Source organism: Homo sapiens, chromosome 1 (assembly GCF_000001405.40).
Source record: "Homo sapiens chromosome 1, GRCh38.p14 Primary Assembly".
NCBI classification, from domain to species: Eukaryota; Metazoa; Chordata; class Mammalia; order Primates; family Hominidae; genus Homo; species Homo sapiens.
In genome coordinates this window covers 47,190,103-47,203,224 of record NC_000001.11, presented here as the reverse complement: position 1 = coordinate 47,203,224, position 13,122 = coordinate 47,190,103, and the positions used below count along the sequence as shown (strand labels likewise).

Sequence of the window (13,122 nt, the reverse complement as noted above, 5' to 3'; positions counted from 1 at the left end):
TTCTGAATATAGATGTCCAATTTCCCCAGCACCATTTATTGAAGAGGGTATCCTTTTCCCAATGTAGGTTCCTGGCATCCTTGTTGAAAATCAGGTGACTATAAATATATGAATTTATTTCTGGTTTCTCTGTTCTGTTCCATTGGTCTATGTACGTATTTTTATACCAATACCACACAGTTTTGGTTGCTATAGCTTTGTAATATATTTTAAAGCCAAGTAGTGTAATGTCTCCAGCTTTGTTCTTTTTGCTTAGGATTGCTTTGGCTGTTTGGGCTCTTTTTTGGTCCCATATGAATTTTAGATTTTTTTTATTTCTGTGAAAAATATCTTGGTATTTTGATAGGGATTGCATTGAATGTATAAATTACTTTCAATTACTATTGTCATTTTAACAATATTAATTCTTCCAATCCATGAGCATAAGATGTCTTTCCATTTGTTTGTGTCCTCTTCAATTTCTTTGATGAGTATTTTGTAGTTGACCTTGTAGAGGTCTTTTACTTCCTTAAATTTATTTCTAGGTATTTTATTTTATTTTTTGTAGCTATTATAAATGGGATTGCCTTATTGATACAATTTCTTCTTTTGTGCTCCTCCATCCCACCTCCCTCCTCCTTTCCTTCCCTTCCTCCCTTCCCCCTCCCTTCCTGTTTTTTTTTTTTGTTTTTTGGTTTTCAAGATACTTACCTTTAGCTTTCAAGTATTTTTGAAAGAGGTCAAAGTATAGTTAGAGTGAACACTCAGCATTTATTTTTATTTTTATTTTTTGAGACGGAGTCTCCCTCCGTTGCCTAGGCTGGAGTGCAGTGGTGTGATCTCGGCTCACAACCTTTGCCTCCTAGGTTCAAGCCATCCTCCTGCCTCAGCCTCCTGAGTAGCTGGGATTACAGACGCATGCCACCTCCCCGGTTAGTTTTTGTATTTTTAGTAGAGATGGGGTTTCATTGTATTGGCCAGGCTGGTCTCAAACTCCTGACCTCAGGTGATACACCTGACTTGGCCTCTCAAGTACTGGGATTACAGGCCTGAGCCACCACGCCCGGCCAACACTAAGCATCTTTTAAAATTGTCTTAAATTTTTTATTATGGACATTTTCAAACATATATTAAAGTAGAGAATAATAAATGGCATGAATCCAGTTTCAGCAATTGTCAACATGTGAGTAATCTTGTTTTGCCTATACTTCTATCTGTCTCCATGCTCCCTCTCCCCACAATGGCTTATTATGAAGCAAATCTCAAACTTCATATTATTTCATCTGTAAATGTTACTATCTTTATTAGTTGATTTAATTAAAAATTACTGAACATCTATCTGCTCTGTCAGGTTATATGCTATGTTCTGATAAATTCTTAATCATCTTTCAAAGCTCAGTTCAAGTGTCACCTCTTCCTGGAAGCTTTCCCTGGTTTTCCCCTCTCCCAAAAGAACTTAATGACTCCTTTCCTGGCATTCAGATTATATGCCTCCTTCACAGCGCTCACTGTTTAATAGCAATTATTTTAAATGTGAGGAGATAGTATAATATAATGCTTAAGAGTTTTGGAAACAAATAGACGGGTTAAAATTTCAATTTCTGCTTTGGAATCAAATAAAGTTGGGTTAAAATTCTGCTTTCTGAGCTTAATTCCTTTGAACCTCCGTGTTCTTATCAGTAAAATGGGGATATAGCACTCACCTTATATTGTGGGGAATAAATGGGTTATGAATCCAAAGTACCTTGCACAGTGCCTGGCACATAGTGGGCATTCCTTCAAGAAGTTACATGCTTCTCTCGCCACACTGTGCTGGAGGCAGGACCACAGCTGTCTCCTGTGTGTGTGCTGGCACGTGGAAGCCTCTGCGGAAGAATGTGGGAGGGGAAGCCTCCAATTACAGAAAGCAGGCAGACTGGGCCCTAGCAGCCCTGCCTGGCTGTGGACAGATTCTCTGGCAAAGTGGGCCTCTGGTTCAACTTTTGGGCTATTTAAAGGCATTAGTAAAAATCCGAAAAATGACTTGATTTTGTCTTTTAATGCACACTTATTTTGTTTAGTTGGAAACTACAAATTTGTCCCTCCCCTCAACTAAATAATCTTTATTATAGAAACTCTGGAAAGAACAGAAAGAGAAGAAAAAAATCACAGAATCAGCCCAGATCACCCATTTATGTATTATTTTATTTCCTTCTTCTTTTTAAAAAAATTTGTTTTACTTTCCATCTATGAAATTATAATTGCATTTTGTTTACTTTTTGGTCCATCTCCAGCTTTTTAAAGTCATCTTCATTTTGAGGGTTGAAGTCTGACCTTTCAAACAAAAGCTCCAAGTGTGAAAGGGTCCGAGGGTTTGGATGTGGCTTCTTGACTGAGCAAGGGGTGTCCAATGTGTGGCTGGCAAAACATGCCTGCAACACCTCTCACTGCCCACCTCCTTCTGGAAGCTCAAGGTTTCTATTCACATACCTCTGGGAATGGGAAGCTCACCACCTTTCAGGGTCATCTCTGTCATCACTAGACAGCTTTCTCTCACTGAACCAAATCCAGCCTCCCAGTGACTCTTTTCATCATCCTCAGCTCCATGCTCAGAGGGCACAGAGCACAGTTTCTCTCTCTGATCTGGTGCAGCCCTGCAGATATCTGGAGACAGAGGCCTCTGAGACTGCTACTCTTCAGGCTGGAAATTTCAGCTCCTCCAAGTATTTAACAGACTAAAGGCAAAATTAGTAACAAGGGAAGAAAACAGTTTTAGTTAATTAAAATGTTGAATGAAATCAGTTCCATGACTCCACATGCCCTGAAATGTGAGGTGTGGCCAATGCTTGTAGTCTTACCCTAAGTGGTCTAGAAGACAATGTATATTGCTTCTTTATTTACTCCTCAGTTCAGATAGATACCCCCTCCCCATCCATTTAAGCAGGTGTTGCTTAGGGCGGGTGTTAGCCCAGCTTCTCATCCCCCTATCCTGGACCGTGTCATCCCTGCCGGAGGCCTCAGTCACCATCCATAAGCTGTTGAATTCCAAGCCTCTATTCCCAGCACAGATCCCTCCCAGGAATGCCAGACCAAAACATGGAGCTGCGTCCTGAGATGTCCTCCGGGTGCTGCAAACAGCCTGTCCACACTGGGACTCATCGTCATCGGCGCATTGCTCTTTGCTCACTGCACCCACTAACCTGTGAGCTCCCTTTGGCACGGCTGTGGAGCTATGGTACTTTAGAACAGTGCTTGGCACAGGAAGACACCTACGAAAGGTGTGTTAAATGAATAACCACATGCCCTCTCCTCAATCCCAGCTTGCTGCTCTTCTAGTTTCCTCTAGTTTAAAAAATAGCACCGGCCAGGTGCGGTGGCTCACTCCTGTAATCCCAGCACTTTGGGAGGCCAAGCCAGGTGGATCACCTGAGGTCAGGAGTTCGAGACCAGCCTGGCCAACATGGTGAAACCCCATCTCTACTAAAAATACAAAAATTAGCCAGGCGTGGTGGCAGGTGCCTGTAATCCCAGCTACTCAGGAGGCTGAGGCAGGAGAATTGCTTGAACCCAGGAGGCGGAGGTTGCAGTGAGCCGAGATTGCACCACTGCACTCCAGCCTGGGGGACAAGCAAGATATTTCTTCTCAAAAAAAAAAAAAAAAAGAAAAGAAAAGAAAAAAAATAGCACCAAGTTTCAAGCACTGTCTGAATCAGAAGACGAGGCACCTCCTTGATTGTACTCTTTTGAATATCTCACTTCTGCGTCTATGCAGCTAGCTTATCCTGCCACTTGTACCCCTTAAATTGCTCTTCCATCCTCCAATTCTCTCTGTGCACTGTTTTAACCCAAGCCATCACCATCCTTCTCCTGGATCCCTTCCACAGCCTGCTCACTGCCCACTTCCCTGTTCGGACCATTCTTCCAGCTGCAGTTGGAGAGAGCTTGCCAAAATGCAAGACTTTCCCACATCGCATCTTTGCCTAAAACCTGTATTATCTGTATTATCTCTAAGGTGATGATGACCGCATCTCTTAGGTCCTGCAAGGCTCTCGAGACCTCTTTCCTGACCACCCTCTGCTCTCCAGCCAGGCCCATCTCCCATCAGCTCATTGTGTGGTGTGACTTTCCCTCCCTGCTCCTCCCAACCTGGAGGTGCTCTCTTCTACACCACTCCCCAACCCCAGTTGTTGCAGATTTTCTCTCTCTAGGTCCTAGAGGAGTGCCTCCACGGCTGCACCCACATGTCCCAAATGTACGTCTCCAGCCTGGACCTCAGTTCTGACCTCCAGACTCACATTCCTTTCTCCAAACCAAACTCGTGAATCCTGCCCCTCCTTCAGAAAAAAAGCCTCCTCCTCCTGCAATCTTCTCCATCTCAGTCTGCTCCAGCTGAGCAGACTAAAAACCTCAGAACCATTCTTGGCTTCTCTCTTCCTCTCACATTCCAGACCAGGTTGGGTTTACCCGCAAAATACATCTAGACTCAGAGCACGGATCCTCAGCTCCACAGCTGCTCCAGATCCCAGTTGCCTTGAGTTGTCCTCGCCTCTCACCTGGAGCACTGTGGAAGGCTCCTTGCCGGCCTCCCTGTTCTCTCTTCTTTCTCCCACTGTCTCTTCTCCACATGGCAGTCAAATCATGTCTCCTGTGCTCAGATCCCTCCAGTAGCTCTTTGGTCTCATTGGAGTAAAAGCCAGAGTCCTTACAACCACTCACAACACGCCAGATGAGGGGGCCACACCCTTGCTTTCCAACCTCATCTCCTCCGCTCTCCCTGCACTCCCTTCAGCCACACTGACTCCCTCCAGCCTCCTTCCTCAGGGCCTTTGCACTTGCCTGTCTCCTTGCCTGGGGTCTTCCCCCATCCACCGCTGAACATCTTACTTCCTCACTTTCAACTCTTGGCTCAAATGTCACTTCTTAGAGGCGCCTTCCCTGAGAATCTGTATAAAATAGCACACCCTCTTCTTGTAGCCCCCCCCCACCATTTTCCTGATCCTGAACTTTTCCATATTGTCATTGGAACTGTTTTATCTGTCTGTTTCCTGGCTGACCCCTCTAGAATGTCATTTCTATAAAGGCAGGGGCTTTGTTTTGTTCATTCCTGTATCCCTAGCATCTTGAACAGTGCCTGGTCCACAGGAGGCTCTCAATAATTACTTGTTCAATGAATGAATCTTAGATTTCATACTACCTTTTCCTGACTTCCTAGACTAGATGGCAAACTCTTTTATTTACTTTTAGCAACTGTACCTTCCCTTTGAAACATTTACTGCAACTGTAATTACAAAACTGTATAATGTAATCTTGATCTTATTCTCTACAGGTTGGGCATCCCTAATCCAAAAATCTGAAATCCGAAATGCTTCTCAATCTGAAACTTTTTGAGCATCAGCATGATGCCACCAGTGGAAAATTTCACATGTGATCTCATGTGATGGGTCATAGACAAAACACAGTCAAGACCGGGTGCGGTGGCTCACACCTATAATCCCAGCACTTTGGGAGGCCAAGGCAGATGGATCACCGGAGGTTGGACCAGCCTGACCAACATGGAGAAACCCCGTCTGTACTAAAAATACAAAATTAGCCAGGCGTGGTGGTGCACGCCTGTGCGCCTGATCCCAGCTACTCAAGAGGCTAAGGCAGGAGAATTGCTTGAACCCGGGAGGCAGAGGTTGCGTTGAGCCACGATTGCGCCATTGCACTCCAGCCTGGGCAAAAAGAGTGAAACTCTGACTCAAAAAAACAAATAAACAAACAAAAACAAACAAAAGAAACCACACAGTCAAAACTTTGTTTCACATACAAAATTAGTTAAAATATTCTAAAAATTACCTTTAGGCTATGTGTATAAGGTGTATAGGAAACAAATGAATTTCATGCTCAGACTTGGGTCCCATCCCCAAGATATTTCACTATGTGTGTACAAATATTCCAAAATCAGAAAAAATAAAAAATCTGAAACACTTCTGGTCCCAAGCATCTCAGATAAGGGCTACTGTATTTCCAGTCCCATAGTAGCCACTAAACATGTGTTGAGTGAATGAATGAAAGAAAGCTAGGATGTTATTTGAGAAACTGACCAATAGCAGGTGCTTGACAGAGGGACTGAACCCTGGGCTGGACATAGGGACTCCTGGAGTTTAGCCCCATCTCTCCCATTGACTTGCTCTGTGACTTTTAGTTGATGACTGTCCATTTCTGGGTCACAGTTTCCCCAGCTGAAAAATAAGGAGCAAGATTACATCATTTAGAATGAGCTTTCAGGCTTGAAGAGATTGTGATTCTAGAACCCAGTACTCCCAGCTTGCTTCCACTGCTGGCCTGGAGCCCTGGGTAGGGAAAGGATGTGCTTGGAACCAGTAGGGTAAGATTTGGCTTTGGGACCTCTGCTGGCAGGCCGGGCTTCTGGCATGGGGCCAGCCCTTGAATTTCTTGGCTGGATGAGTGGGCAGCAGGATGGGTTGATTGATCTTCCCCCACTGTGGGGTCCTGGCCATAAATCTCCTCAGCCCAATGGGGTCGCCTAGGACCCAGGAGTCACAGCCAGTGCATTCCTTGGCTTGACTGGCTCTGGGCTGGTGCTTTCTGCCCCTTCCAGCTCCCAGACACTGGAGACCCTGTGGGCGTTAGCACCCATTCAATCTGATCATAGAGCCTAGCTCTGTGCTCCAGAAAGCCTCTGTCCAGAGAGCTGCCAATCTTTCTCCAGGTCTGACCTTAAGATCACATGGCATTGTTTTGAGCAGATATGCCCTAGGCTCCCGGTGAGCCAGGACTTAACTCTCTTTGTGCCATGGAACCCTTGGGCAGTCTGATGAAGCCTAAGGACCCCTTCTCACAGTAATATTTTTATTTATTGATAAATTAAATTAATTAATTAATATATTTCTGAGACCGAGTCTCACTCTGTCACCCAGGCCGGAGTGCAATGGCACGATCTCAGCTCACTGTAACCTCTGCCTTCCAGGTTCAAGCAATTCTTCTGCCTCAGCCTCCTGAGTAGCTGGGACTATAGGCACATGCCACCACTCCTGGCTAATTTTTGTTATTTTTAGTAGAGATGGGGTTTCGCCACGTTGCCCAGGCTGGTCTCAGACTCCTGACCTCAGATGATCTGCCCGCCTCCGCCTCCAAAAGTACTGTGATTACAGATGTGAGCCACCGTGCCCGGCCTCTCACAATAATGTTTTTAAGTGCATAAAATAAAATGCATAGCATTGCAAAGGAAGTCAGTTATATTGAAATGTACTTATCAAAATACTAAAAATATAAGTTTGTAATATAGTGATTTATGTGTCCATTTATAATGTATTCAACAACAAGATCTTGTGGAAGGTCCAATGACTATTGTACTTCTACAGTGGTGAGTATAAGATATATCTAGATATCTGCAATAATTATATGGTGATATGAAAATATCACAGACAGTCTGTGGTTTGTTGCCTTCATCCTACGGAAGAAAATGGTAAATTTTATTTATTTTTATTTATTTTTTTTTGAGATGGAGTTTCGCTCTTGTGCCCAGGCTGGAGTGCAATAGTGTGATCTTGGCTCACTGCAACTTCTGCCTCCTGGGTTCAGGTGATTCTCCTGTCTCAGCCTCCCCAGTAGCTGGGACTACAGGCGCCCACCACCATGCCTGGCTAATTTTTGTATTTTTAGTAGACACATGGTTTCACCACGTTGGCCAGGTTGGTCTCGAACTCCTGATCTCAGGTGATCCACCCGCCTCGGCCTCTCAAAGTGCTGGGATTACAGGTGTGAGCCACCACATCTGGCCGAAAGTGGTAAATTTAAGTTAGAGGTTAGTGAAATACAGATATAATGTTTCCCTGTCCATGTTCATGAGCTAGAGTTCTGTCCACAGCCCTCTGGGAAGGGAGTGTTACATGAAGGGGAGCCAGGTGAATGAATTCTTAAGTCTGAGAGGAGAGGGGCTCACCACAGTCCTAACCAGCCTGCTTCCTTGGGACCTTATCAAAATATGAAAAGCTATCATATTCTGTTAACGGAATCACAGGATCATAGGCTCCAGACCTGGAAGGGCTACAACCCTGCTACAGTTTCAGTATATGTCCCTCTAAAATTCATATGTTAAAACTTAAACCCCAATTAGCTGGGCATGGTGGCGGGGGCCTGTAATCCCAGCTACTCAGGAGGCTGAGGTAGGAGAATCACTTGAACCCAGGAGGGGGAGGTTGCAGTGAGCTGAGATTGTGCCACTGCACTTCAGCCTGGACAATGAGAGCAAAAACTCCGTCTCGAAGAAAACAAAAAAAAACAAAAAAATCCTTAAACCCCAAGGTGGTGATATTGAGGGCTGGGACCTCTTGGAAAGGGGTTAAGTCAGGAGGGCTTCACCCCCGTGAATGGATTAGTGTTCTCAAAAACGGGGTTGAAGGGAGTGTCCTTGCCCCTTTCACCTTTCCATCCCTCCCACCGTGTAAGGGCACAGCAAGATGTGTCATCTTGGAAGCAGAGGGCAGCTCTCACCAGATGCCAAGCCTGCTAGTGCCCTGATCTGGGACTTCCCAGCCTCCAGAACTGTCAGAAAGTAAATTTCTGTTCTTTATAAATTACCCAGTCTAGGGTATTTTTATTAAAGTGGTACAAAGAGACTAAGACAAACCCCTTTTGCAGACACCTCATTGGGTGACCTGGTCCATGGCCTCTGCTCTTACATGTCTAGGGAAGGAGAGCTCACCCTCCAGGACACCCTCATATCAGGCTGAACAGCTCTAACTGTCAGAGGAATGGTTGCCTTGTCTTCTCCTTCACATACAGAGATGAATCAGACACAGTCCTTGCCCCACAGATAGAGAGTGGAGAGAGACAAGGACTCAACTACAGCTAAAATGTTTTATTCATTGAACAACCTTTCTCTGAGCTTCTGCTCTTTGTTAGGCCAGTGGTAGGCACTGCATATACTGACATTTAATTTCATAAAATGTGTGTCGAGTGTGTACTCAGGCACTGTGCTCAGTACTGGCTGCTGAGGGAGAGATAGACATGATACCTTCCCTCCATGGAGACAGTTATTAAATGAGTAAACATACAAATCAGTGTGTAATTGCAACTTGTGATCATGGCTGTGAGGAGATGAGCAAAGGAGACTCATAGAAGGGAGTGACTTCAGATGGGAGAGAAGGGAAGTAAAGAAGTATTCTTGAAGAAAGGGATGTAAAGGAAGATCAGTTTGCTGGGCAAATAGGAGTGGAAGAGTGTTCCAGGCAGAGAAAAGAGCAAGTGGAGAGAAGTCTCTGATGTGGGAAAGAGCTTGGCTTTTGTTAGGAAGTGACAGGAGGCTCCGGGGCCAGACCAAGCTGGAGTGGTGGGTAAGGAAGATTGCCTGTGCCCTCAAACCCATGCAAAGAAGTTTGCATATTATTTTAAGGGCTGATGAATGCCATAAAAGGGTTTAAGCAAGATACGTTTGAAAGAATAAAACAAGGTCTCCAGGAGCTCTCTGGCTTACAGCAATGATATTAACAAGATGAAGTATTATAAGAATTAGTAAAGAGCTGGGCGCGGTGGCTCACGCCTGTTATCCCAGCACTTTGGGAGGCCGAGGCGGGCTGATCACTTCAGGTCAGGAGTTTGAGGCCACCCTGGCCAACATAGTGAAACCTCGTCTCTACTGAAAATACAAAAATTAGCTTGGTGTGGTGGTGGGCGCCTGTGATCCCAGCTACTCAGGAGGCTGAGGCAAGAGAATCGCTTGAACCCAGGAGGCGGAGGTTGCAGTGAGCCAAGATTGAACCACTGCACTCCAGCCTGGGTGACAGAGAGAGACACTGAGAGGGAAAAAAAGAAAGCTTTTATATTTGTGTTCTAAACACCCTTCTTGAATGTTCTCTGTACTTTTTCTCAGGCTAAGCTCTTTGCCTGGATTCCTCTCCCCAGACTGTCTGCCGAGTACAACACTCTGGCTAACTTTGCCTGCATTACCTCCTCCAGGATGCCTTCCTTAGCAATGTAGTCCACCACGCTGCCCTATGTCAGAGCCCTGAGCACTCCCTGTATGCTGTTCCCAGACTATTTACATGTCAATGTCCACCGTCCCTTTCTTCAGACCACCCCTGGAGGAGGGCAAAAGTGGGGGCTGGAGGGAGGGGAAGTTGCAGAATCTTCAGCAGCAAACTGGCTCCCTGCACGCCCAGTCTGGTATTGGAGCTAGACACTGCCACCTGCTGGCAGTGAGTGGAATGGCTGACAAGATGGGGTTGGGAGGAAGGAGACTGCTGGAAACAGTCCAGGCCCACTTTGGCTTTTCTGAAGGGCAATCGCATAAGGTCTGGCTGGATGGAGGGCTTGTCTAAGGGGCCTGATGGTTTTGCGTGACAGCTGGGCTGGAACAGGAAGGAGGAACTGAACGTCGATGGAACAGCTGCTCAGGACACACGGTGCAGCCCTGTGGGGCTGCTGAGACCTTAGTCCAGACCCTGGGCCCCAGCCAGACCAGTAGGGGGGCCCACCTTGTTACCATGGGGATCAGGGCTGTGTCCATACAGCTGGGGAGATGACCCTCCACCCGTGTGAAGACCTCCAGGGAGGAGGGACCAGCCTCAAAGCCAAGTGTCCACCCATGCTCCCTCTTTTCTGGAACAACTTGTTTTGCTCTAAAGCTTGGGACTTTGACCCAGGAGGTATGTTTTCCTCCTGTTGATCACCTGGTGTCCTTCCTGTTCATCCCCTTCCCCCACCACTCCCAAAGCATAGCCCAGGGGATCCTTTCCTTTCCCTGGGTTTTTCAGGGAAGTGGAGGATACTGGGGTGGGGAAGGCAGAACCTGGGACTTGAGTGCTGAGGGCACTGGTTGGAGGGGGTGGCACAGCTGTGACCCCCCCACCCTCCTTAAGTCTGTCCTTGCTTGGCTCCTGGGATACCCCACTTTCCTGGGGTTGCTTCCTCCTGTTTCCTCCTGCCCCTTCTTCCTTTGAAAGACCTTTGTGTGTTGGGGGCGTGTCTCCTTCTTTCTGTGCTCTCCCCTCAACACCCCTACCCCCGCTACACACACTGGGGAGACCATGAGCTCCCAGGCCTCAGTTACCATCCCTGTGCTGCAGACGGCTCCCAGATGTTCCACTCCAGATGCAGGGATTTTGCAGCCTTCCAGATGTCTCCCTCTGGAAAGTCCACAGGCACTGCAAGCATAATACCTCAAAATCTATAGCTCATTAATCCTCCAACCCCCCAAACTTGCTCTGGCCCCTACTGAGGCACTAGCATCTACCCAGCTGCCTACGCCAGAAACCTGGGAGTCACCTGAAGCCCTGCCTCCTGCCTGTACCCATTCTCCCAGCTTGGCACTGTGTTCCAGCAGCCACACCCCGGCTTCTCTACCTCCTCAACAGGGCTCAGATCTGTTCCCATGGGCACTTCCTGCCCAGGTCCAGGCACTGGTGTTGTGGCCACTGTAGCAGATCCCTGGATTTCTCTTCTCCAGCCTTTGCATGCCCCTTTCACTCTCCACACTGCATGGAGAGGTGTTTTCCCAAACGCAAAACTAACCATGTGACTCTCCTCCCTAAAATTCTTGGAGAAGGCACCAGTAGATGTTTGTTAAATTCAGCCCCATTCCTTACATTCCAATCAGTGATTCTCTGGCTGTTCATTAACATGCACAGTGCTTACTCCAGTCTGTGTTAGAAGATTCTGAGGACACCAAGTTGGGTGTGGGAGGGAGGCCAGGATATACATGTTTGGGAGGCATCACTCAACTCCAAGCAAAGTTCTCCCAGATCACCTTGAGACACTCCATCTTTGGATGGCAATGGGCCCGACTGCACACGCATGTGAACACACACACACACACCCACACACACCACACACACACACACACACACACACACACACACACACACACACACACACAGGAAGCAGGCCTGAGGCATGATGTCTGAGTGCTCCCGCTGGAGCAGGAAGGCAGAATCAACCTGCCATAGGAAGGGTTGCCCAGGAGGCCTGATGAATAGGAGTTTGGTGGCTTCAGGGAAGAGAGGCTGTGGAGGTGCCTTCAGCTCAGGTGCTGGCTCCTGGGGACCTTCCATCTCTGATGAGACTTTGTTCCAGTTGGCCCGCTCCTTTCTAGGGAGTCAGCATCTCAGCTTCCCATACTTCTGGGGTGGGGGGTGGGGCAAGGAGACCAGCATGACCCTTGGTCAGGGGCTTGCACAGGAACTCTGGCCATTCTCATTCCCTGAGCTGGAGGGCCAGGTGGACACCACGTGATCCTGGGGAGGCTTTTGCCTCTTCCGAGGGCTCTGGCTCCAGGGCCTCCCTGTTCCAGGGGCTAGGTGTGCCTTCCTCAATGCTGCTTTTGGCTATGAGGGTGACGGGCCCAGGGCTTCAGGGCCCCAGATCGCACCTTGCCATCTGGGGTGTCCGTCCTTTGTCCCCCACAGCAGGCTGTGTTTGCCCATTTTCTCCTCTGCCATGGGTGGAGATGGATCTGAAGTTGGGTGTTGAAGCCTCTGACCAAGGCTGTATCTTGTTTTGAGGCCCTGCCCGGTTTCCAGGGACCACATCTGGGGCCAAGAGGAAGAACCGAACTGGGACTAGGTTAGCTGTGCTGGGTCAGGGCCTGGGCATGGGCTGTGAAAGCTGGGGACTGGGACCTTCAGGCCCTCTATTGAGATCTTTGCAGAAGGGGGTGGATTTAGGAAGCTACTGGGCTGGGCCAGGGCGTGGAAGGCACTGAAGCCGTAGTGTGTCCCAGCATTAGAGTCCCAGAGTTTAGCTTGGCGGGGCAGGGGCAGGTGGTGGGGAGAACAGGAAATAGGCCAGGCTCTCGGCGGAGTCTGGCAGCTTTGAGCCTTCTCTGGGCTTCTGGGGTTTTCCCCAGGCTCCTGAGCCAGCCAGGACATTTCTTAATCCCACTGTCAGCCTTCCAAGAAGCCCCGCCCACTGGGCTCAGTCAAGGCAGGAGCGACTGTGTGTCACCCCTTTCCCTAGAATCCAGCCCCACTGCCAGGAAAAGGGAGCTCAGGGCATGGAGGTGAGGCTGGGACTCTCCCACATCTGCTTGTTCCTCATACCCACCTCCTTAGCTGGCCCCTGGAAGATGACCTCGAATGCCAGCCCAAGTGAGCTGGGCACCAGCCAGGGGAGGCCAGGTCTGGCAGCTCATTACCATGGGAGGGAGGGCACGTTCTCTCC

The 13,122-nt window shown here is 47.9% G+C and overlaps 2 annotated features.

Annotated features, from left to right (window-relative positions):
- Nucleotides 10,835-11,784: an enhancer, noted in NCBI's record as "H3K4me1 hESC enhancer chr1:47657113-47658062 (GRCh37/hg19 assembly coordinates)". NCBI's record gives its function as "activates a minimal SCP1, AML or CMV promoter by ChIP-STARR-seq in naive H9 embryonic stem cells {active_cell/tissue: H9 hESC(naive)}" and the evidence as "EXISTENCE:reporter gene assay evidence [ECO:0000049][PMID:30033119]".
- Nucleotides 12,614-12,908: a silencer, noted in NCBI's record as "tiled region #12212; K562 Repressive DNase matched - State 5:Enh". NCBI's record gives its function as "represses a minimal TATA promoter and a strong SV40 promoter by Sharpr-MPRA in K562 cells {active_cell/tissue: K562}" and the evidence as "EXISTENCE:reporter gene assay evidence [ECO:0000049][PMID:27701403]".